At 38.4% G+C, this 26,659-nt stretch overlaps 1 protein-coding gene across 2 annotated transcripts in view, besides 2 other annotated features; it reads left to right on the forward strand.

Moving 5' to 3' along the window:
- Positions 1–23,236, forward strand: part of CENPQ (centromere protein Q) — a 29,738-nt gene extending 6,502 nt beyond the window's left edge. The window contains exons 2-9 of one of the 2 annotated variants that reach the window (XM_005249205.2): positions 269–407; positions 1,103–1,157; positions 2,192–2,312; positions 2,919–2,987; positions 11,080–11,209; positions 18,481–18,600; positions 18,736–18,813; positions 22,273–23,236. In XM_005249205.2, coding sequence (XP_005249262.1) covers positions 306–407; positions 1,103–1,157; positions 2,192–2,312; positions 2,919–2,987; positions 11,080–11,209; positions 18,481–18,600; positions 18,736–18,813; positions 22,273–22,404 — 807 coding nt within the window. In that variant the 5' untranslated portion in view covers positions 269–305 and the 3' untranslated portion in view covers positions 22,405–23,236. The remainder of the gene's footprint in view (positions 1–268; positions 408–1,102; positions 1,158–2,191; positions 2,313–2,918; positions 2,988–11,079; positions 11,210–18,480; positions 18,601–18,735; positions 18,814–22,272) is intronic. The other variant, NM_018132.4, reaches the window with a different exon arrangement.
- Positions 13,262–13,766: an enhancer, noted in NCBI's record as "H3K27ac-H3K4me1 hESC enhancer chr6:49450846-49451350 (GRCh37/hg19 assembly coordinates)". NCBI's record gives its function as "activates a minimal SCP1, AML or CMV promoter by ChIP-STARR-seq in primed H9 embryonic stem cells {active_cell/tissue: H9 hESC(primed)}" and the evidence as "EXISTENCE:reporter gene assay evidence [ECO:0000049][PMID:30033119]".
- Positions 13,767–14,270: an enhancer, noted in NCBI's record as "H3K27ac-H3K4me1 hESC enhancer chr6:49451351-49451854 (GRCh37/hg19 assembly coordinates)". NCBI's record gives its function as "activates a minimal SCP1, AML or CMV promoter by ChIP-STARR-seq in primed H9 embryonic stem cells {active_cell/tissue: H9 hESC(primed)}" and the evidence as "EXISTENCE:reporter gene assay evidence [ECO:0000049][PMID:30033119]".
- Positions 23,237–26,659: the final 3,423 nt, after the last annotated feature.

Here is a 26,659-nt window from a genome sequence, read left to right on the forward strand (position 1 = left end):
CATTTTTAAATGATTTTCTAAAATCCATACAAACGGAAGTTAATTTCTAGGAATGAAATTGAATTAGATATCCTTATTCTGATAAGAGTGAAAATTATTTCTTTTAAAAAATGCTTGTTTAAAAGCATACAATACTATCCCCAAACTTTTATTATGATTTTTCTTTAAAAAAAAAAAAAAAGAGAATGTGGAACATTTACAGGATAGTTTTTTAAACAAAACATTGTGCAAGGCTTTAGCTTTTTTTGTATTATTTTCATCTTTACAGATTTTTTTTTTTTTCGAAGCACTGTGTTTAGATCAAGATGTCTGGTAAAGCAAATGCTTCCAAGAAAAACGCTCAACAGTTAAAAAGAAATCCAAAGAGAAAAAAGGATAATGAGGAAGTTGTGTTGTCAGAGAATAAGGTAATGAAAATATCAAGTTTCTCATTTAGAAATCTTCAACTGTGGCCAAGCACTATGGCTCATGCCTGTAATCCCAGCACTTTGGGAGGCCGAGGTGGGTGGATCACGAGGTCAGGAGATCGAAACCATCCTGGCTAACATGATGAAACCCCGTCTCTACTTAAAAAAAACAAAAAAAAAAATACAAAAAATTAGCCAGGCGTGGTGGTGCACACCTGTAATCTCAGCTACTCGGGAGGAGGTTGAAGCAGCAGAATTGCTTGAACCCGGGAGGCAGAGGTTGCAGTGAACCGAGTTTGTGCCACTGCACTCCAGCCTGGGCAAAAAGAGTGAGACTCCGTCTCAAAAAAAAAAAAAAAAAAAAAAAAGTTTCAGGTTTTACCCTACTCATTAGGCAATGCCTATATTTGTATATAACATTATTTCTTAGGCAAAGTGAGTAATAATTCATTTAAAACATTCTTTGACACTGTATAAAATTCTGTTATTATCATCATTGTCAAGAATTGCTTTAGTATGTCCTCTCTGTGATAAATATACACCATTTTTCTTTAGAAGTAGCAACATACATTTTTTCTATGTACTAGAAATTATATGAATACTCTTTGACATATATAAAAATCTATTGTAAAAGCAGGATCCTTTTATCTGATGTTTAATTCTGTTTATGTTTATGCATGTGTTTTTCCCTCTAGGTTAGAAACACAGTGAAAAAAAATAAAAATCATCTGAAAGATCTGTCTTCTGAAGGTATTTCTTTTCTATTACCTTGTTTAACCTGCTTCTATATCAAGCTATATCTACATTCGTGAAAAAATGTTCAGCATCTTGTTTATGAGTTCTGCAAAAGATAGTAATAAACAACTACATTTGCATTTTTGTAAGAATATGTAGTAGTGGTTAGTTATTTTGGTCAACTGAAATTTTACTTAGCACCTCTGACGAAATACTGTAGAGGCTTCAATGCCACTGAGTTGATAGGAAATAGAGAAACTCAAAGTGGCCCACAGCCTGAATTATTAGTGATCTGTGATATAAATACAAATGTACTAATTTTTCTTCAAGACAAATATGCTTTCTGTTCTGTATAGATTAGTTTGGAACCATTATTATAAGTTTGTTTGGAGTAAACTAGTTTAGAGTAGTTGCCTTTGCTTAAACATCACTGTTTCATGGAAGGATTCTCTACGTCTCCTCAGCCAACACTAGGTTAGGTCCTCTGGTTTTATACTGCCATAGTGTACAATACTTTTTTTTCCTTTTGTATGCTTTGCACACCTATAATTTGTTCAATATCCCTTCTCTCCAACACTCATTTTCATGAGATCCAGTACTATTTCTTCTTTTTTTTAATACCTAATAAGTAGAACAGTACCAACAGCATAGTTGACACTATCTATTTGTGGTTTGATTAGTCTGTTTTGTTCCAGTTGCCATCCAACATTTGGAAAATAGTTTCCTGGTCCTCTCAATGAAATGTTTAAAGAATTTAGGCCATTTCTGAGAATGAAACTTTTCATAATTAAAGTTTGATTCTTCATTTAAAATTATTTCTATTATCACTTGGTAGTATTTCTGTTAACTTATCAATAGAAAGCATATTCATATTCAACACCTGGGATGTTACAGCTGTGTGATAAAAAGTAAATTAAACAGTTTATACAGCTTTATAATATTTTGTTCTGATAATTTCATAAGCTTTTTTAGATGAAAACATTCCATTTTTAAGCAAAAACATGTAAAACATCTAGATTGATCAGAGCCTCTTCTATTACTAACGACAGGACAAACAAAGCACACTAACCTAAAACACGGAAAGACAGCAGCCAGCAAGAGAAAAACCTGGCAACCTCTGTCAAAGAGTACCAGAGACCATTTGCAAACTATGATGGAATCAGTAATAATGTGAGTATAAAATTGTTCCATTTCATTCTTTTGGTTCCCATTTAGGTGTTTCCTATGGATATTATTCTTTTAAATATTGCTATCTATTTTAAGGTAATAGAGTATATTTCTATTTCGGAAGCAGATAAAATTAATGTGACGGTATTTGCCTTCAGCAGAAAAGTCTTTGTTAATTTTAGAAACCTGAAATTCCATCGGTGAAATAAAAGCAAGTGTTTGTGGCCTGACTTGCTATCAATAAAATTTTAATTTTTGTCAATAGAGATTCTTTAGGAAGAAGTTGAGTTCAAAGTGACACTTTACATAGAAGCTACCACACTGGAGGGGATACAGAGAAAATAAGACAGAATTCTGCCATTGTGGAGCAAATTCTATCAGAAGAGCCAGGCATGTAACTTATTACAATACAGTGTGGCAAAATATATATATAAGAAGAATTTTTTCATTGTACTTCTGTTTAAAGTGTCTTTAATATGAAAGGAAAAGTGATTGATTTTGCCTGGCTAGTGGGGAGGGGTACTTGAGAGAAATCAGAGAGAAAAAGTACAAAGAGTATATGATTTGTGCATCAGACTACTATTTATTCCATCTTTTTTTCTTTTCTAGGACAATTTTGAGTAACAGTATTAAAGAAAAAGAAGAAATACAATACCATCTCAACTTCCTGAAGAAAAGGTAATACTATTGCATAATTAAAATGATTAAAACATAATTTTTAAAAACCTGACTTCTTTCTATGTTGCCAAATAGACACTTGTGGAATGTAAGTTTTTCTTTTTTTTTAGAGAAGGTGAACAACTTGGAAGTATGTTTTCTCTTTTTTCTAAACTGCTGCTCCACATGTTTCTCAAATAAGTTTCAGGGGAACTTACAAAAAAAACCCTGAAAATCACGAAATTCTGTTTCCACAGTTCACTCTTCCATATCAGAATTTGAAAACAGTTTTGTCAACTTGAACTCCCTTCAACTTCATTTTTAATAATTTGAAGTTAATAGTTCACAACTCTTATCTATCTGATATTTACCCTATTGCTGTGTTTTTCCACTTCATATTGTCTTAAATTATTTGCATGAGCAACAAGTATAATTTTCTAAGATATTATTGCTCTTCATCTTATGGTAAATCACCAATGGAGATTTCTTCTCAGGAGTTCTTAAAAGGCACACCACTGCCTGTGATTTTCAATAATTACTTTTCTCTAGTATTTACACAACTTTTTCTTTTTATAAGAAACTAAGCTTCATAAGTGAAGGAGAAATAAAATCCTTTACAGACAAGCAAATGCTGAGAGATTTTGTCACCACCAGGCCTGCCCTAAAAGAGCTTCTGAAGGAAGCACTAAACATGGAAAGGAAAAACCGGTACCAGCCACTGCAAAAACATGCCAAATTGTAAAGACCATCGATGCTAGGAAGAAACTGCATCAACTAACGAGCAAAATAACCAGCTAATATCATAATGACAGGATCAAATTCACACATAACAATATTAACCTTAAATGTAAATGGGCTAAATGCTCCAGTTAAAAGACACAGACTGGCAAATTGGATAGAGTCAAAACCCATCAGTGTGCTGTATTCAGGAGACCCATCTCATGTGCAGAGATACGCATAGGCTCAAAATACAGGGATGGAGAAAGATCTACCAAGCAAATGGAAAACAAAAAAAGGCAGGGGTTGCAATCCTAGTCTCTGATAAAACAGACTTTAAACCAACAAAGATCAAAAGAGACAAAGAAGACCGTTAATAATAGTAAAGGGATCAATTCAACAAGAAGAGCTAACTATCCTAAACATATATGCACCTAATACAGGAGCACCCAGATTCATAAAGCAAGTCCTTAGAGACCTACAAAGAGACTTAGGCTCCCACATAATAATAATGGGAGACTTTAACACCCCACTGTCAACACTAGACAGACCAATGAGACAGAAAATTAACAAGGATATACAGTAATTGAACTCAGCTCTGCACCAAGCAGACCTAATAGACATCTAAAGAACTCTCCACCCCAATCAACAGAATATATATTCTTCTAAGCACCACATTGCACTTATTCCAAAATTGACCACATAGTTGGAAGTGAAGCACTCCTCAGCAAATGCAAAAGAACAGAAATTATAACAAACTGTCTCTCAGACCACAGTGCAATCAAACTAGAACTCAGGATTAAGAAACTCACTCAAAACCACTCAACTACATGGAAACTGAACAACCTGCTCCTGAATGACTACTGGGTACATAACGAAATGAAGGCAGAAATAAAGATGTTCTTTGAAACCAACGAGAACAAAGACACAACATACCAGAATCTCTGCGACACATTTAAAGCAGTGTGTAGAGGGAAATTTATAGCACTAAATGCCCACAAGAGAAAGCAGGAAAAATTGACACCCTAACATCACAATTAAAAGAACTAGAGAAGCAAGAGCAAACACTTTCAAAAGCTAGCAGAAGGCAAGAAATAACTAAGATCAGAGCAGAACTAAAGGAGATAGAGACACAAAAAACCCTTCAAAAAATCAGTGAATCCAGGAGCTGATTTTTTGAAAAGATCAACAAAATTGATAGACCACTAGCAAGACTAATAAGAAAAGAGAGAAGAATCAAATAGATGCAATAAAAAACTGATAAAAGGGATATCACCACTGATCCCACAGAGATACAAACTACCATCAGAGAATACTATAAACACCTCTACGCAAATAAAATAGAAAATCTAGAAGAAATGGATAAATTCCTGGACACATACACCTCCCAAGACTAAACAGGGAAGAAGTTGAATCCCTGAATAGACCAATAACAGGCTCTGAAATGGAGGCAATAATTAATAGCCTACCAACCAAAAAAAGTCCAGGACCAGACAGATTCACAGCCGAATTCTACCAGAGATACAAGGAGGAGCTGGAACCATTCCTTCTGAAACTATTCCAATCAATAGAAAAAGAGGGAATTTTAGACCGATATCCCTGATGAACATTGATGCAGAAATCCTCAATAAAATACTGGCAAACCAAATCCAGCAGCACATCAAAAAGCTTATCCACCATGATCAAGTGGGCTTCATCCCTGGGATGCAAGTCTGGTTCAACATCAATAAACGTAATCCAGCATATAAACCAAACCAAAAACAAAAACCACATGATTATCTCACTAGATGCAGAAAAGGCCTTTGACAAAATTCAACAACCCTTCATGCTAAAAACTCTAAATAAATTAGGTATTGAGGGGATGTATCTGAAAATAATAAGAGCTTTTTATGACAAATCCACAGCCAATGTCATACTGAATGGGCAAAAACTGGAAGCATTCCCTTTGAAAACTGGCACAAGACAGGGATGCCCTCTCTCACCAATCCTATTCAACATAGTGTTGGAAGTTCTGGCCAGGGCAATCAGGCAGGAGAAAGAAATAAAGGGTATTCAATTAGGAAAAGAGGAAGTCAAATTGTCCCTGTTTGCAGATGACATGATTGTATATCTAGAAAACCCCATTGTCTCAGCCCAAAATCTCCTTAAGCTGATAAGCAACTTCAGCAAAATCTCAGGATACAAAATCAATGTGCAAAAATCACAAGCATTCTTATACACCAATAACAGACAAACAGAGAGCCAAATCATGAGTGAACTCCCATTCACAATTGCTTCAAAGAGAATAAAATACCTAGGAATCCACCTTACAAGGGACGTGAAGGACCTCTTCAAGGAGAACTACAAACCACTGCTCAACGAAATAAAAGAGGATACAAACAAATGGAAGAACATTCCATGCTCATGGATGGGAAGAATCAATATCGTGAAAATGGCCATACTGCCCAAGGTAATTTATAGATTCAGTGCCATCCCCATCAAGCTACCAATGACTTTCTTCACAGAATTGGAAAAAAAAAACTAAAGTTCATATGGAACCAAAAAAGGGCCCGCATTGCCAAGACAATCCTAAGCAAAAAGAACAAAGCTGGAGGCATCACACTACCTGACTTCAAACTATATAAAAAGGCTATAGTAAACAAAACACCATGGTACTGGTACCAAAACAGAGATAGAGACCAATGGAACAGAACAGAGCCCTCAGAAATAATACCACACATCTACAACCATCTGATCTTTGACAAACCTGACAAAAACAAGCAATGGGGAAAGGATTCCTATTTAATAAATGGTGCTGGGAAAACTGGCTAGCCATATGTAGAAAGCTGAAACTGGATCCCTTCCTTATACCTTATACAAAAATTAATTCAAGGTGGATTAAAGACTTAAATGTTAGAACTAAAACCATAAAAACCCTAGAAGAAAACATAGGCAATACCATTCAGGACATAGGCATGGGCAAGGATTTCATGTCCGAAACACCAAAAGCAATGACAACAAAAGCCAAAATTGACAAATGGGATCTAATTAAACTAAAGAGCTTCTGCACATCAAAAGAAACTACCATCAGAGTGAACAGGCATCCTACAGAATGGGAGAAAATTTTTGCAATCTACTCATCTGACAAAGGGCTAATATCCAGAATCTACAATGAACTCAAACAAATTTACAAGAAAAAAACAACCCTATCACAAAGTGGGCAAAGGATATGAACAGACACTTCTCAAAAGAAGACATTTATGCAGCCAACAGACACATGAAAAAATGTTCATCATCACTGGCCATCAGAGAAACGCAAATCAAAACCACAATGAGATACCATCTCACACCAGTTAGAATGGCGATCATTAAAAAGTCAGGAAACAACAGGTGCTGGAGAGGACATGCAGAAATAGGAACACTTTTACACTGTTGGTGGGACTGTAAACTAGTTCAACCATTGTGGAAGACAGTGTGGCGATTCCTCAAGGATCTAGAACTAGAAATACCATTTGATCTAGCCATCCCATTACTGGGTATATACTCAAAGGATTATAAGTCATGCTACTATAAAGACACATGAACATGTGTGTTTACTGCGGCACTATTCACAATAGCAAAGACTTGGAACCAACCCAAATGTCCATCAATGATAGACTGGATTAAGAAAATGTGGCACATATACACCATGGAATACTATGCAGCCATAAGAAAGGATGAGTTCATGTCCTTTGTAGGGACATGGATGAAGCTGGAAACCATCATTCTCAGCAAACTATCACAAGGATGAAAAACCAAACACCGCATATTCTCACTCATAGGTGTGAATTGAACAATGAGAACACCTGGGCACAGGAAGGGGATCATCACACACCGGGGCCTGTCATGGGGTGGGGGGAGGGGGAGGGATAGAATTAGGAGATATACCTAATGCTAAATGAGTTAATGGGTACAGCACACCACATGGCACATGTATACATATGTAACAAACCTGCACAGTTGTGCACATGTACCCTAGAACTTAAAGTATAATAAAAAAAAAAAAAAGAAAATGTTCTGTTTCTCAGTTTCAAGTTTGCCTAGAAATATTTGTGACCTATTTTAAGGAATTCTTTTGAGTACAAATTCTATTTAGTTTTTCTTTAAATATAATTTTCAACCCACAATAGCCAAGTAGAAAGAGTGAATCAGATGGGTTGGGTCAGGGTGGGAGTTTGCTGAGAAAGGTTTAACAAATTAAAAACTGCTAGAAGCAGGCTTGTAAATTGCTTAAAGGTATAGCAGCCTATTATTAAAGAAGGAAGAAGATATTAAAAAGATAATAAGCTAATACAAGTATAATGAAAATGTAGCTGTTTAGGATCTTTTTAATATAGAACAAATACTAATGTTTAGTTTATGAATGTGACTATTACATAATAGTTGCTGTTCATAGTGATCACCTTGGTTCATTGGAAAAGATTATATTCAACAGATAGGCAGTCTCTTTGTCATGTAACAGCTATGGAGTACATACATTTCAAGGCCTGACTATTTCCTCCTTATTTTTACTTTCACAGCTTGCTTTCTTTAGTTCCTGAAGTCACCATACCCAAGATACAGTTACTTCTACCAATACAACAAAGTACAACATTAGCAAACTGATCCTAATTGGAACTCTAAATACATTTTTCTGTAGCAGTGTTTCTGAAAGTATATTTGAAACACTTGTTCTTACAGATAGTCTATGGATAAAAGTAACCTATGGTGAATTATATTTGGGTACCTTAGCATGTAAGAAGCCCTGCAGTAAATAAATCTATTTCATTTTCTTTAAGCTAGCATCTCCCAAATTGCTATTTCTGGGAACTCATTTTCATATAAATCTATTTCATTTTCTTTAACCTAGCATCTCCCAAATTGATATTTCTGGGAAGTCATTTTCATATATTAGTCTCATCTCTGCTTTTGACTAAACGTTAGCTTCATTATTTTCATTTTTTAGTTTTCAGTTCTTACTAGATTACAGCTATAGTCATAGGCAGCTTCCTGTGTATATCATTTTAGCCTGGCGAAGAAAGAGGAAAAAGACGATTCTTACCCCTTAGCTTCAGTTAGAAAATTCTAGGAGATGGTTTCTGATTTGCTGAGCTTAGGTGATATACACCTATTCTTGGCGTGATTTTGTGACAAGAGCTACCATGGATATGATTGATATAGACTGGATTATATACCTAGCCCCATGATTACACAGACAAGTTTGCTAGGCAAACAAAACTATTCGCCATTACAATTCTAAAGGAACATACTTCCAGAAAGTCTGCCCTATAGAAACAATGTTATAAGTGGTGATTAAATGTTGCTGATATAATAGGATATATTCAAGCCATGGTTTTAGTTTCTAAGAGTTAGTGAGACTCTTGGAAATCTAACTGCTATTTAGAACATTTGGAGCAGTGAATGACTCTTCCACATAATTGGTTTAATAAACATATAGAAGAAACTTCATAATTAAAATATTTTTGTTAAGAAAATAAAAAACTTATTCCTCTTAGGAAAGCTTAGGCAGATAGTTTGTGTTTAAATGTGATAGCCTAATGATGATTTTTCTAAATAACTAGAGTTTGTCTTAACAGTTTAATGAGAATTATGATTTGTGGGGTTTTTGCTGCCTACTTTTTTCTTTACAAAAATTAAAATTTTATTTGCAAACAATGCATCAAACAAAGGTCTGTATCAAGACTCTATTAGAAACTTAAACAAATTAGCAAGCAAAAAACCAACAATCCTATTAAAAAGTGGGCAAAGGACATGAACAGACACTTTTCAAAAGAAAACATACATGCGGCCAACAAACATGAAAAAAATGCTCTCAACATCACTAATTACTAGAGAAATGCAAATGAAAACCACAATGAGATACCATCTTAAACCAGTCAAAATGGCTGTTATTAAAAAGTCAAAAAGTAACAGATGCTGGGAGGTTGCCAAGAAAAGGGAATGCTTATAAACTTCTAGTGGGAATGTAAATTAGTTCAACCATTGTGGAAAGCAGTTTGGCAGATTCTCAACTTAAAACAGAACTACCATCCAACCCAGCAATCCCATTAGTGGGTATATACCTGAAGGAATATAAATTGTTATAAAGACACATGCACACTTATGTTTACCACAGAACTATTCACAATTGCAAAGACATAGAATCAACCTAAAGGCCTATCAGTGGTAGATTAGATAAAGAAAATGTAGTACATATAAAACTTGGAATGCTATGCAGCCATAAAAGAATGAGATCATGTCCTTTGCAGCAACACGGTTGGAGCTAGAGGTCATTATCCTAAGCAAACTAACACAGGAACAGAAAACCACATAGTGCATTTTCTCACAAGTGGGAGCTAAACATTGAATATATATGGACACAAAGAAGGGAACAAAGATACCAGGGCCTACTTGCGGGAGGAGAGTGAGGGTTGAGAAACTACCTATCAGGTACTATGCTTATTACCTGGGTGAAAAAATAATCTGTACACCAAAGCCCCACAACATTTGCCTACATAACCTGCATATGTATTCCTGAATCTAAAATAAAAGATTTTTTTTTAATTAAGATTTTTAACCAGATCCCAAAAGTGGGATAGTGGGTTCCACTATTGTTCAGATTTCTTCAAATCTTAAGTAGTAGAACTTTTTAGAACCCAAAGATACTGCTGTTATAAAGGGAATCAAATTTAGCTTTTCCTCCTCATAAAATTCAAGAATCAAATCTGGGAAAGCTATTTTGCAGTCTGCCAGATGTGATGATAGAAATAGATGTTTCTACTGGTGATCAACTCAAATTTGTAAAAGAATTTTTTAACTTTAATATTAAATGCCATTCATGTTTATAGAATTTTTGAGCAATGCACTTTGATCTTAGTGTTTTATTTGCCTTAAACTCTATAGAACTCAGTTTTCTTTGAAATCATTTAGAATAACTAATGTAAATCTTCTCTATTTTTGATCACATTCTCTAAAATAATTGAGATTTGGGGTCCAGGGTCATAGTTAAGACTTCTAGACTAGTGTTCTGTCTCTCAACCAATAATTCACAATGTATAATAGACTCATGTAGTGTAATAGTCTAGAAAACATCTGGATGATAAAAGGAAATTTTGGTTTTAAAATGTATATAAATTGTCAAATGTGTAAGATAGAAAATTTGCTTTTAGTAAAGTAGCCCCAGTGTCCCTTAATTTGAGGTAAATCTTAATAAATTGAAAGGCTAAATGATGATTTGTCAGGGCTTTTAGAGGGGGAGATTTACTGGCAATGTTACCCAGTGGTAATAAAAGAATATTGTACCCTTAAGAATATGAGGACAAGAAAAAATGAGGACTGTTTTAAAATAATAATAGTACTCAAAAATAAACAAAATAATTGTTTTTATTTTATCCTTAAGATTGCTACAACAGTGTGAAACTCTGAAAGTCCCTCCCAAAAAGATGGAAGATTTAACTAATGTATCAAGTCTACTGAATATGGAAAGGGCACGAGACAAAGCTAATGAAGAAGGTCTGGCATTACTACAGGTATGAAATTTGAATAGGGAATCCATAATTAGAGAGTTAGGGAAAGGGAAGAAGACCAAAGTTTTTAAAATTATCATGATGTTCTTCCAGTAGTGAATACTAGATCTTGAACCAGGTTTTTTCATTAAATTGTTTTTTTGTTGTTGTTTTCATTAAAGCAAAAATTTGTCTGAACTTGGCACCTCTAAAGTTGAAGTATTTCTAATATATTTGTGGTTAAGTAGTGTGTCCGGAATTGGTGGGTTCTTGGTCTCACTGACTTCAAGAATGAAGCTGCGGACCCTCGTGGTGAGTGTTACAGTTCTTAAAGGTGACGTGTCTGGAATTTGTTCCTCCCGGTGGGTTTCTGGTCTCACTGGCTCAGGAGTGAAGCTGCAGACCTTCGCGGTGAGTGTTACAGCTCATAAAGGCAGTGTGGACCCAAAGAGTGAGCAGTAGCAAGATTTATTGCAAAGAGCGAAAGAACAAAGCTTCCACAGCATGGAAGGGGACCCGAGAGGGTTGCCACTGCTGGCTCAGGCAGCCTGCTTTTATTATCTTAACTGGCCCCACCCACATCCTGCTGATTGGTAGAGCCGAGTGGTCTGTTTTGACAGGGCGCTGATTGGTGTATTTACAATCCCTGAGCTAGACACAAAGGTTCTCCACGTCCCCACCAGACTCAGGAGCCCAGTTGGCTTCACCCAGTGGAGCCCACACTGGGGCTGCAGGTGGAGCTGCCTGCCAGTCCCACACCGTGTGCCAGCACTCCTCAGCCCTTGGGTGGTCGATGGGACTGGGCGCCATGGAGCAGGGGGCAGCACTCATCGGGGAGGCTTGGGCTGCACAGGAGCCCACGGAGGAGGGAGGCTCAGGCATGGCGGGCTGCAGGTCCTGAGCCCTGCCCCACAGGGAGGCAGCTAAGGCCCGGCGACAAATTGAGCGCAGGGCCGGTGGGCCGGCACTGCTGGGGGACCCAGTACACCCCCCGCAGCCGCTGGCTTGGGTGCTAAGCCCTTCATTGCCTGGGGCTGGCAGGGCCAGCCAGCTGCTCCGAGTGTGGGGCCTGCCAAGCCCACACCCACCGGAACTCCAGCTGGCCCGCAAGCACCGCGCGCAGCCCCGGTTCCCGCTCGCACCTCTCCCTCCACACCTCCCTGCAAGCTGAGGGAGCCAGCTCCGGCCTTGGCCAGCCCAGAAAGGGGCTCCCACAGTGCAGCGGTGGGCTGAAGGGCTCCTCAAGTGCCACCAAAGTGGGAGCCCAGGCAGAGGAGGCGCCGAGAGTGAGCGAGGGCTGCAAGGGCTGCCAGCACGCTGTCACCTCTCAATCCCCCCTCTAAACAGGACATCCCAACTGCTGTTGGGAATTTGCCTGATGACCACTCTAGCTACTTCCTGCTGGATGGGGCGATGAAGGGGCCCTGGAGTTGTAGTGTCCTCCAGAGGGGAGGTCTCTAGGCCAGGGAAAGTGCCAGTGGGTCGGTCCAGGGGTCCTCAGTAGAAGTTGTTAGTTGAACTCCTTTGGGATTCTATTTGTAAGACCATCTGTAGCTTGATGGCCTCGATTTACTCAGTGATAGGCAATGGTCTCACTGCTCGGCGATTGGCGATGGTCTCACCGCTCGGCGATTGTCTCACCGCTTGGCGATAGGCGAAGGTCCCTTTGTGGTCGCCAAAATGTGTCTGGAGTTGGTGGGTTCTTGGTCTCACTGACTTCAAGAATGAAGCCACAGACCCTCGTGGTGAGTGTTACAGTTCTTAAAGGCAGCGTTTCCGGAGTTTGTTCCTCCCAGTGGGTTCGTGGTCTCGCTGGCTCAGGAGTGAAGCTGCAGACCTTCGCGGTGAGTGTTACAGCTCATAAAGGCAGCGTGGACCCAAAGAGTGAGCAGTAGCAAGATTTATTGCAAAGAGCAAAAGAACAAAGCTTCCATAGTGTGGAAGGGGACCCAAGCGGGTTGCCACTGCTGGCTCAGGCAGCCTGCTTTTAGTCTCTTGTCTGGCCCCACCCACATCCTGCTGATTGGTAGAGCCGAGTGGTCTGTTTTGACAGGGCACTGATTGGTGTATTTATAATCCCTGAGAGCTAGACACAAAGGTTCTCCACGTCCCCACCAGAGTAGCTAGATACGGAGTGTAGAATGGTGCATTCACAAACCCTGAGCTAGACACAGGGTGCTGATTGGTGTGTTTACAAACCTTGAGCTAGATACAGAGTGCAGATTGGTGTATTTACAATCCCTTAGCTAGACATAAAGGTTCTCCAAGTCCCCACCAGACTCAGGAGCCCAGCTGGCTTCACCCAGTGGATCCCACACTGGGGCTGCAGGTGGAGCTGCCTGCCAGTCCTGTGCTGTGCGCCCGCACTCCTCAGCCCTTGGGTGGTCGATGGGACTGGGCACTGTGGAGCAGGGGGCGGCGCTCATGGGGGAGGCTCCTGCTGCACAGGAACCCTCTGAGGGGGGAGGCTCAGGCATGTCGGGCTGCAGGTCCCAAGCCCTGCCCCACAGGGAGGCAGCTAAGGCCCAGCGAGAAATCGAGCAGTGCCGGTGGGCTGGCACTGCTGGGGGACCCAGTACACCCTCCACAGCCGCTGGCTTGGGTGCTAAGCCCCTCATTGCCCAGGGCTGGCAGGGCCAGCCAGCTGCTCCAAGTGTGGGGCCTGCTAAACCCACGCCCACCTGGAACTACAGCTGACCTGCAAGCACCGGGCGCAGCCCCGGTTCCCGCTCGCGCCTCTCCCTCCACACCTCCCTGCAAGCTGAGGGAGCCAGCTCCAGCCTTGGCCAGCCCAGAAAGGGGCTCCCACAGTGCAGCAGTGGGCTGAAGGGCTCCTCAAGTGCCGCCAAAGTGGGAGCCCAGGCAGAGGAGGCGCCAGGAGTGAGCAAGGGCTGCAAGGGCTGCCAGCACACTGTCACCTGTCAGTAGCAGTCCTATTTTTTCATCAGATTTTAACTGAACTATCTTAGTATTTTTAATTATCAATTTAGAGGAGCTTATCACTAAATACTGTGGAATTTTAAAACGTGGAAATTTTTCTGACCTGTGTATGGCAAGAAAACACAATTATCATTAGAGTTAATATATACTGGGGACTTCCTACACTCCAGACACTGTTCTAAGCACTTTATAGTTATATCCCTTAATCCTCACAATGACTTAGAGTATGACCTAAATTATTCTGTTTTTATAAATGTGATAAAAAGACATAATGCTATTTCTAACTGAACCTTAGACAAGTTGCTTAAAGTTGAGATGCTAACTTTGTCATTCTGACAGTAGCACATGATTCTTGATCACTATGTTGTATGGCATCCTGTGGAAGATAATAGGAGATAACCTTATCTATCATGGTTAACTTCCAGCTTTTAATGAATGGATATCCAAACAACTAAGTCAAAGCAACCTTGAGGAGCTTATTAGATAATTATAAAAACTAACACATATGGGACCGTATCTCTTAGACATTTTGAAGTAGTTTGTAGATGTGGTGCATAGATTTTAGTTGCAATTTATTAAGTACAAGGTGGTAGTAGTTTCTGAAGGAATATATTCCCAAAATTTATAATAATTCAAAGGTAACAATTCATTCCCATTTTTCCATAGGATTGAGAATAAAGTTGAAGGAACAATTTCTGAGCACAAATCTATATGTATTTTTAGCTAATAGGGCGGCATTTTTTGGTGGCTGCCTCACTTTATTCAAACTGTGGTATTATATTTTATTTCCATCCCAAGGTTCCTACTTTTTTAGGGCATCTTTTCAGTATTGGCACTAGCTTCATCACCTAAACACTTAGATGACGTTTATTTAGGTTATTTTAAAAGGTTTGAAAGTATAATCATGGAGAATTTTAACATTTAGTATTTATGCACATCAGTTAAGGGTGTTCTGAAGTCATAAATGATAGTGTGATTTTTATGCTACTGGTAAGCATTTCTGGCCTCCAGCTGAAATTTGACCTCCATGGGACATAAGCATAATTACAATCTATAATTTGCTTGTTAGTCACTCAGAAGAAGCACCGCTGGCATTTGGGGCAGGAGAGTTCTCCATTGGCATAAGAAGATCTTTGGACTAGCAGCTTGTAAACTCTATCTGTATTCATTAGTTTTCTCCTCTGTGCCTTAGAACCATTGCTTTTTCTCACTGCAGCCTAGAGTCATTGCTGGTGATGATCTTCCAAAACCTGTAATAGTAACAGAAATTTTATTCATTTAACATTTTCATCGTGCTCTCACTCAGTAATGGTGCTGGGGAAACAACAATGGTGAACACCATCTCGGAGATTCTGGGAGGATGGCATTAGAACAGCTGAAGCATAATTTTTTAGACTCCCTTGATCTTGTCATAAAAATGGAGCCATAGGATTTCAGAATCAGAGTTAGCATAAGAAAATATGACAATAAAGACCAAAAATAACATTCCTGATACACCGAAAGCATACCAAAAAGACACGTGCCTAGAACAGATAAACATTAACCTAATTTATCAAGTGAACTGAAATAAATTCAGAAAAAATGATAGAAAGTATAGGGGAAAAATTATAAATCAGAATTAGAAATACTGATAAATGTAAGTAGAGAATTCAAGAATGAATGAGACATAAAAGAGAAAACCTTGCAGATATGTAGACTAAATTAGAAGAAACACTAAAGCAAATAAACAACAGATAATGCTTATGGTAAATAGAAGATAAAGAGAAAATTTTCAGAATCATAAAAACATTTTTAAAAGGAATTGAGAAAAAAAAAACCTCAAAGAAGATACCATATGAGTATGGTAGTAATACCCAAAGATAACCAAAGCAATGGAACAAAATAAATTTTATAATGAGAAATTTTAATCCTTGTTATATTTAACCCTTTTGTTCATTCAATGCTGTTATACATTCCCTTTGTAGTGGGTTGAATCTAGGAAAAGGGTCTTGTCCAATATAATTAAGGATCTCAAGATGAAGCATCCTGTATCGTCACGGGTACGTCCTAAATCCAATGACAAGTGTTCTTATAAAAGACAAGAGAAGGCACAAAGACAAAGAAAAAGCCACGTGAAACACAATAGAAGGCATAAATAAAAAGCCACGTGAAAGCAAAGGCAGAAACTAGAGCAATGCAGCTACAAAGAATGCTGACAGCTACCAAAAGCTGAAAAAGACAAGAAACCATTCTCCTCTCTTGTCTTCAGAGGGATTGTGGCCCTGCCAACACCTTGATTTTGTACTTCTGTCCTCCAGAACCATGACAGAATGAATTTCTGTTATTTTAAGCCAAGTAGGTGGTACAGCAGCCACGGGAAACTAATATATGTGGTTTGCTTTATATTTATGTTGGACAGCATTCTCTTAGATCCTACAACCAATTCACAGAAAACACAGGGCTGAGGAACCAGTTAAACTTCACCAGGGAATACAGTTCACAAAATTTAGCCCATGGGAAATTCCACAGAGTAAACTATCTAATCTCCACAAATAAATTGAAATGGAAGCCTTCTATGGATGAAAAGAGACTCAGACATATCAACCAGTCACAACCAGTTTGGAACCTGATTAAAACAAAATGTAAAAAAAAAACTCCAATTTATGAGAAAATTGAAAATGTGAACACTAACCATATGTTTGATATTAAGGAATTTATTGAGATTTTTTTAAAGTGTAGTAATGATATTGTACTCTTATGTATCTTTAAATCCTTTAGAGCTGTATACTGAAATATTTATAGATAAAATGATAGGATATCTAGGATTTGAAATAGCACAGGGGAAGCAGGAGAAGCAGATGGAGTTAAAGGTGTGACAGGATGGCCATGGGCCAGGCGTGGTGGCTCACGCCTGTAATCCCAGCACTTTTGGAGGCTGAGGCTGGTGGATAACCAGAGGTCAGGAGTTCAAGACCAGCCTGGCCAACATGGTGAAACCCTGTCTCTACTTACAATACAGAAAAAAAAATTATCTGGGCATAGTGGCAGGTGCCTGTAGTCCCAGCTACTTGGGAGGCTGAGGCATGAGAATCACTTGAACCTGGGAGGCAGAGGTTGCAGTGAGCCAAAATAGTGCCATTGCACTCTAGCCTGGGCAACAAGAGCAAAACTCCATCTCAAAAAAAAAAAAAAAATAAAAAAAATAAAAACAGAGTCTGTTCCTCCATGGAGTTTAGATTCAAGTGAATAGAGCTCACAGTCCCAAAATCTTAGGCATTCAGAGAACAGCACATTCCCAGTAAGGGGCCAGACAACATTTTAGCCTTTATGGACCACATGTGGTTGACTGTTTTGTTGCATATCCTTTTGTTTTGTTGAGGTTTTGACCAATCTTTTAAAATGTACAAACAATTCACAGTTCTTGAACTGTACAAAAACATCCCATGGGCAATTGCTGACCCCTGCAGCTACCCTTTCTTAAAAAAAAAAAAAAGTCATTTAGAAGCCAAAATATATTTCTTGAGGAAGACTACTCTCCCAGCAATAGTTCTGCATCCAGTATTTGGAAAAGACATAGATATAGCATCAACTTTATTGCTGAACAAGATTTAAGAGTTATTACTTATGTATATTTTCTGTGTGGCTTATTTACTTGTTCCCCAAAGCATACAGGCAATGTTATCATTGACTGTTGCTAGGACCATATTTGAAAGCAGTGCCATGTTTAATACCCTTTAGAAACCTGGAGGCTTGCTAATTTTAATTTTATACTTGGCCTGCACACAACACATCCTTGATGTGTTGTCCCCATACTTGTTTTATTCATTTCTTATTTTCTTTTCATCTTCCTCTCTAAATTATGTATTCCTTTAATGTGGGAAACTGTTACTCTTTTTTTTTATTCTCCCTGCTCTAATGCCCAACATTACTTCCTTTTGACAAATTAAAATAGCAGGCTCTTAAATGTTCCTAAATAAATGAAAACAATTCAGAATTTCTCCACTACATGAAGTTTTATGCTGCTTAAGGAAGGTTGCTGTATTTGTTGTCATCAGTTCTGGGCTCTGCTAGATTTACACTTGGATCTTCCAGGATCTCTGACCCTACCAGCATTGGTACGTTTTGAGGAAGTGTTCATGTACATCTCCTTATTCCAGGGAAATTAGATATCCTTATAACACATTAATACCTTGACATACCAGCTTTCCAAGAAGTCTCTTTTTTGAAAGAAACAAAAGTAAATTCACCAGTTGCTTCTAAAAATGTTTTAAATATATATGGTGTTTTTTTAAAATGTGTATGTATAACAATATCTATTAGGATTTAATATAATAATGTGTTTAAGTTAAAATGTTTTTTTTCTCTTTCTGACTCAGGAAGAAATAGATAAAATGGTAGAGACCACAGAGTTAATGACTGGGAATATTCAGAGCCTAAAGAACAAAATTCAGATTCTGGCAAGTGAGGTGGAAGAAGAAGAGGAGAGAGTAAAACAGGTAATTATTTTAAACTGTATTATTGGAATTTGGATATAATTTTTAATGGTTAAATTATGCAAAGATAACTTTCGAGTATAATATGATGAGAGAAATCAGCTTTTTGAAATAATCTGTAGCTTTCTTCTACTTTAGATGCATCAAATAAATAGTAGTGGAGTACTCTCTCTTCCGGAACTTTCTCAGAAAACTCTCAAAGCACCCACACTTCAGGTAAGTGCCTATTTACCATATTGATTACAGGCATACTTTAGAGATGTTGCAAATTTGGATTCAGACCACAGCAAAAAAGCAAATACTGCAATAACGCAAGTCACACAAATGTTTTGGTTTCCCACGGCATATGGAAGTTATGTTTACGCTATACTGTAGTCTAGTAAGTGTGAAAAAGCATTATTTCTTTTTTTTTTTTTTAAAGGGACATACCTTAATTTAGAAAACGCTTTACTGCTAAAAAATGTTAACAATCATCTGCACCTTCAGCAGGTCGTAATCTTTTTGCCAGTGGAGGGTCTTGCCTCAATGTTGATGGCTGCTGACTGATAGCGTGGTGATTACTGAAGGTTGGGATGCATGTGGCAATTTCTTAAAATAAGAAGACAATGAAATTTGCCACATCAGTTGATTCTTCCTTTCACGAAAGTTTTCCCTGTAGCATGTGATGCTGTTTCATAGCATTTTACCCACAGTAGAACCTCCTTCAAAATTGGAGTCAGTTCTCTCATTCCTTGTCACAGCTTTGTCAGCTAAGTTTTTGTCATATACTATATCCTTCATTGATATTTCAACTATGTTCATAACATCTTCATCATGAATAGATTCCATCTCAAGAAACCACTTTCTTTGCTCATCCATAAGAAGTAACTCCTCGTCCATCCAATTTTTATCATGAGATTGCAGCAATTCAGGTACATCTTCAGGCTCCACTTCTAATTCTGGTTCTCTTGCTGTTTCCACCACATCTTCAGTCACTTCCTCCACTAAAGTCTTGAACTTCTCAAAGTCATCCATGAGGATTCAAAATTGAATCCATTTTTTCTAAACTCCTGTTATTGGTATTTTGACTTCCTCTTGTGAATCATGAATGCTCTTACTGACATCTAGAATGATAAATTTATTTTAATATGTTTACAATTTATTTTGCCCAGATCCATCAGAGAAATCACTACCTAGGGCAGCTATAGCCTTATGAAATGTATTTCTTAAGTGATAAGACTTGAAAATTGAAATGACTCTTTGATTCAGAGGCTGCAGAACAGATGTGTTAGCAGATGTGAAAACAACATTAATCTCCTTGTATATCTTCATCAGAGCTCTTGGGTAACTGTGAACATTTTCAATGAGCAGTAATATTTTCAAAGGAATCTTCTTTTCTGAGCAGTAGCTCTTAACAGTGGGCTTAAAATATTCAGTAAGCCATGCTCTAAACAGTTGTACTGTCATCCAGGCTTTGTTGTTCCATTTACAGAGCACAGACAACACAGATGTAGTTGATTTAGTAGAATTAAGGACCCTGGGATTTTCAGAATGATCAGTGAGCATTGGCTTCAACTTCATGTCACCAGCTGCATTAGCCCCTAACAAGAGCCTAACAAAAGCATCTCCTTTAAAGCTTTGAAGCCAGGCATTGCCTTCTCTTTTCCAACTATCAAAGTCCTAGAGATAGCATCTTCTTCCAATAGAATGCTGTTTTATTTACATTGAAAATATGTTGTTTACTATAGCCACCTTCACCAGTGATCTTAGCTAGCTAGGTCTTCTGGGTAACTAGCTGTAATTTTTCTATCAGCACTTGCTGCTTCACCTTGCACTTTTTATGTTATAAACACAGCTTCTTTCCTTAAACCTTATGAACTAACTTCTGCTAGCTTCAAACTTTTCTTCTGCAACTTCCTCACCTCTGTCAGCCTTCATAGACTTGAAAACAGTTAGGGCCTTGCTGTGGATTAGGATTTGGTTTAAGGGAATGTCGTGGCTGGTTTGATCTTCCATCCAGACCACTCAGACTTCCCATATCAACAATAAGGCTGTTTTGCTTTCTCATTATTCATGTATTCACTGAAGTAGCACTTTAAATTTTCTTCAAGAACTTTTCCTTTGCATTCACAACTTGGGCGTTTGGCACAAGAGGCCTAGCTTTTGGTTTGCGTGGCTTTTGATAGGCCTTCCTCACTAAACTTAGTAATCTCTAGTTTTTGATTTAAAGTAAGAGACATGATTCTTCTTTTCACCTGAACACTTAGAGGCCATTGTAGCATTATTAACTGGCCTAATTTCAATATCGTTGTGTCACAGGGAATAGGGAGGCCCAAGGAGAGGGAGAGAAACTGGGAAATAAATGGCCGGTTGGTGGAGCCGTCAGAACACATAACAATTACCAATTCAGTTCACTGTTTGATATGGTTGCAGTTATGGCACCCAGAACAATTACAGCAGTTCCATCAAAGAACACTGGGCATAGATCACCATAACAGATACCGTAATAATTTTTAAAGTTTGAACTATTACAAGAATTACCAAAATGTGATGTAGAGATACAAAGTGAGCATGTGCTTTTGGAAAAATGGTGCTGATAGACCTCCTTTGCACAGAGTTGCCACAAACCTTCAGTTTGTAAAAAATGCAGTGTCTGGGAACACGGTAAAATGAGGCATCCTGGTATATCATAGACCAATTATACATTACATATATGAAAACATTATGTCCTATTTCGTTCTTTAAACAAATGGAACCTGATATAAACTGTTTGGCAAATTACTTTTCTCATTCGACTGTATAGTTTGAACATCTTGTCAGTCACGTAGATCTCTCATTTTTGTTGATAGCTATGTAACATTCTGTTGTATGGAGGTCATATAATTTGTAAATTACTGATGGAAATACATAATTTTTTTAATACAGGTAAGACTGGGTACACCCTTGTACATATGTCTTTACTGATTTGTATAGTCATAATTGTAGGATACATTTCTAGAAGTAAATACTGACAGTTTGGTTTTTTTAATGCTTCTAACAATAGCATATAACTCCTTATAAAATAGTACTGTCTTATTTGTAGTAAACTATTTCTTCCAAGGGCTCTAGTAGACATTGTAGTATAAATGTTTGTAGCATTGGAAAGTCTTCATGTTTTCTCAAGAAGTAATTTGAAATTTTCCTATTGGCTGGGCACAGTGGCTCACACCTGTAATCCCAGCACTTTGGGAGGCCAAGGCAGGCGGATTGCCTGAGGTCAGGAGTTCGAGAACAGCCTGACCAACATGGAGAAACCCCATCTCTACTAAAAATACAAAATTAGCCAGGTGTGGTGGCACATGCCTGTAATCCCAGCTATTCGGGAGGCTGAGGCAGGAGAATTGCTTGAACCTGGGAGCTGGAGGTTGCAGTGAGCCAGGACTGCGCCATTGTACTCCAGCCTGGGCAAGAAGAGCAAAACTCCACCTCAAAAAAACAAAAACAAACAAACAAACAAATCCTATCATTTACCAGTGGTGAAAGGAGCAGGATGGGGAGAGGGAGAGATAGATTTGAAAGAAGAATGGCGATTCGTTGACAATTATTGAAGTTGGATGATAGATACTTAAGGTTTATTTTACTGTTCTCTCTAACATACATTTGAGATTTCTCATAATAAAATGTTAACAACTACATTTAATACTATCTTTCCCACAGAAAGAAATTTTGGCGCTAATTCCAAACCAGAATGCTCTTCTAAAGGACTTGGATATTCTTCATAATTCATCACAGATGAAGAGCATGTCAACCTTCATTGAAGAAGCCTATAAGAAACTGGATGCATCTTAAAGAGTGTTTTTTTTTTAGATTGTTCCATATTAATTTAATGTTCGTGAATTTGTAAAACTGTTAACCTATGATTATATGTACAGAGGCTAAGGCTTCTGCAGGATTTATTATCTCCTGATATGCACTTTAAAATTAGTCTTTGTAGTTCTATCATTAGCATCTAATGTAGTTCTGAAGACTGTTTTTAGCAGTTGCCAAATCTAGGAAACTAACATTTATATTGCTGTATCTATAAGTATTTGCCTAAAACCATAAAATAGGAATTGCCTTAAGGATCTAGTAGTTTATAATGCCTGAATGGAACTCATTTATTGGTTAACAGCTCATATCAGGAGCTGTGATAAGTAAGTGTTTACATACACTGTCTAGTGCATAAAAACCTTAGTGTTTGCTATCATTCATTCTGTAGCCAATGGCTTACAGTTTCTGTCTGGTCATCTGGAACTTGAAAAATCCTCAAATGCCTTCACTCTTTTACCTAACTCCCTAGTCTTTTTGGGAAGTAGTTAAGATATGCCTGCTATCTTTAACTTTGGAGGTAGTATCAAAATTTTACTTCTTTGGTTGTTTAGTGAATTAATGTTGAATATTTTCTACTGTCATCAAAACATATTCCCAAAAAGTATTAAAAAGGAACCTTAGCACATTTATTTTATTAAAACAAGAAAACCCAAAATATATAAACCTTTTCTTATTATGATAATAAGCTTATATATGTGAATAAGTTATAACCTAGTGTATAAAAAATTATTTCTAACAAACTACAGTATACTGTCTTGGGTTTTTTTTTTTTTTTTTAGTCTGTAAAATAAAATGACTGCAATTACTTTTTTATGTGACCTATAATATCAGTTAATTTGGGAGATGCCATAATTCTGTTAACACCCTTCAGGCAGAGACCACTGGCAACAAACCTGTAGTTAAACAAGTTGGGTTTTCAGTGTAGTGAGGAGATCACACATGAGGACCCTGGGGCAGCTCAAGAAAAGGGTCACAAGCAATATCCTCATAGGAATAATGGTAAAGAAGGCCTATTAATAGATTTTGGAGGAAAATAAAATCTCAAAGAAAAACCTGGCAAAGTGACTAAAAGTAAAGATTATTACAAAATGTCTTAAAAACCCTTCACTTGGAAACTTAAAGCTTCATGTTTTTAGAATGAGTAGTAGAGCCCTAACTCAGTGATTTTTAACACTAATGTTATAGTAGCTTTTGGTGGTGGGGGAGGAATTATGTATGCCATTTCTCTCAGGGCATCTGTTTAACAGATAACTGATAGTTAACTGGGATTTTAACTTACCATTGTTGCTGAGTGATACAGTTCTTCACCCTGTGTGAACTGGCCATACTACTCTTGTAGCTTTGAAGAGTTTATAATCTAACTTTAAGAGATCTACAATATCTTCTGGTAGGTAGCATCCAATCCAAAACATACACAGTATTTTCTTTAAATAAGACTGCATTTTGGTGTACTCTTTGGAAAGAATTTAAGAATTAATTACAGATCTGTTATGGTTTGCCTAGGGTTTATTTGGCCCCACCAACCTCATGTTGAAATTTGATCCCCAATATTGGAAGCGGGGCCTGGTGGGAGTTGTTTAGATCATGGCGTGGATCGCTCATGAATGGCGTGGTGCCATAGATGCTGGTGCCATGCTTCTTGTACAGCCTGCAGAAACATGAGCCAAATCTCTTCATTAATAAATTACCCAGCCTTAAATATTCCTTTATAGCAACACTAAACATACTAAGAAAATTGGTATTCAGGAGTGAGGCATTGCTCTAAAGATGCCTGAAAATGTGGGAGTAGCTTTTGAACTGGGTAATAGGCAGAGGTTGGAAGAGTTTGGAGGGTTCAGGAGAAAACAGGGAAGACAAGGGAAAGTGTAGAACTTCTTAGAGATTGGTTAAGTAGTTGTGTACCAAAATGCTTATAGAAAAAGAGACAGCAAAGGTCATACTGAGGAAGCCTTAGATGGAAATGATGAACTTATAAGTTACTGAAGCAAAAGTCACACTTGTTACACCGTAGCAAAGAACTTGTCTGCATTGTGTCCATGCTCTAGGGCTTTATGGAAGGCTTCATTTAAGAGATGGCCTAGGGTATCTGGGAAAAGAAATTTCTAACCAGCAAAGTGCTCAGGCTGCTGCATGGTTACTTCTAACTGCTTACAGTAGAGACCAGAGGAAAATTGGAAAATGTGCAGCCTTGCCTTGTGTTAGAGAAGGAAAGAAGAGTGTTTTTAGGAGAGGAATCTAAGAGTATGACCAAGCAGCAGCAATAGTTTGCTAAAGAGATGAGCATGACTAAAAAGGGCCAGGTGCTAATAAGACTATGGAAAAAATGTCTCAAAGCTATTTCAGAAATCTTTGCCACCCCTCCCATCACAGATTAAGAAGTTTAGAATGAAAGAATGGCTTTTTGATGGGGCAGGTGATACTGCTCCCCACACCCCAGCGGCACCAGCTCAAAGGGCCTCAGGCTGCTGCTCTGGAAGGTGTACCCAGTAAGCCTTGGAGACTTCCATGTGGTGTTAAGTCTGCAAGCATGCAGAATGCAAGAGTAGTGGAGACTTGGCAGCTTCCACTTACATTTGAGAGGATGTATTAGAAAGCCTGGGTGCCCAGAAAGAAGGCTGCCACAGGGTCTGAGAGCCTCTACTAGAGAAGTGCCTAGTGGAGCAGATGGAGCAGGGGCACCACTCTCCAACCTCAGAATGGTAGAGCCACCAACAGCTTACAATCTCAGCCTGGAAGAGCTGCAGGTATTGGATTCCAACCCACGAGAGCAGCTACGTGGGCTGCACCCAGCAAAGCCATGGGGATGGGGATGCCTGAGGCTCTGGAACCCACCCCTTGAACCAGTGTTCTTAGGATGCGGGACATGGAGTCAAAGCAGATTATTTTGGAGCTTTAATATTTAATATCTGTCCTGATAGGTTTGGGACTCACATGAGGCCTATTACCCCTTTCTTCTGGCCTATTCCTCCCTTTTGGAATGGGAATGTCTGCACCACCACTGTATCTTGGAAGTAAATAACTTCTTTTTTTATTTTACAGGTTCACAGTTGTAAGGAACTTGCCTTGAGTCTCAAATGAGACTTTAGACTTTTGAGTTGATGCTGGAACAAGTTAAGACTTTGGGGGATGGAATAATTGTATTTTGCAATGCAAGAAAGACATGAGATTTGTTTTTCATGCCACCAAATCTTATGTTGAAATTTGATGCCCAATATTGGAGGTGGGGCCAGATGGGAGAAATTTGGGAACAGATCCCCCATGAATGGCTTGGTGACATTCTCCCAGGAGTAAATAAGTTCTCTTGGTTCCCATGAGAACTGCTTGTTAAAAAGCCTAGCATCTCCCCATCTCTTTCTTGTTTTCTCTCTCACCACATGATCTGCAAATGCCAGCTCCCCTTCACATTCCACCATGAGTAGAAGCAGCCTGAGTCCCTGGCCAGAAGCAGATGCTGGCACCGTGCTTTTTGTGCAGCCTACAGAACGATGAGCCAAATAAATCTCTTTTGTTTATAAAATACCCAGCCTCAGGTATTCCTTTATGGCAACACTAAAGAGACCCAAGACAAGATCCAAATAAAATTAAACTGCCGGGCGCAGTGGCTCACACCTGTAATCTCAGCACTTTGGGAGGCTGAGGCGGGCAGATCACCTGAGGTCAGGAGTTCGAGACCAGCCTGGCCAACATGGTGAAACCCCGTCTCTACTAAAAATACCAAAATTAGCCGGGCGCAGTGGCGGGCTCCTCTAATCAGGAGGCTGAGGCAGGAGACTCGCGTGAACCCGGGAGGCAGAGATTGCAGTTAGCCCAGATAGTGACACTACACTCCAGCCTAGGTGACAGAGTGAGACTCCATCTCAAAAAAATAAAAATAAAGAAATAAATAAACTTTGACTATACATGGTCCCAATAATTCAAATAACAGTCCTCCTCTGTAGTGACCTCAGCCATCTAAGTTCTCCCATGCACAGCCCATGCCAACTATGATACATCTCTTCTCTAGTGACTGATAAATGCCAATGTCAGAAACTTAAACAATAACAAAAAAAATACACTTTTGAGATAGAGGATATATTGTATTAAAATGTAGCATATGATAAAGATGGCATTTCAAATGAAATACAGAAAAATATTTATTAATAAATGGTCTTCATAAAACTGGCTAACTACATAATGGAGGGTGAGAGGATGTTTAATATTCCTACTTTATGCCTAAGTACATTCCCACTAAATA

The sequence above is a fragment of the Homo sapiens genome, chromosome 6 (genome assembly GCF_000001405.40).
Source record: "Homo sapiens chromosome 6, GRCh38.p14 Primary Assembly".
Taxonomy (NCBI): Eukaryota; Metazoa; Chordata; class Mammalia; order Primates; family Hominidae; genus Homo; species Homo sapiens.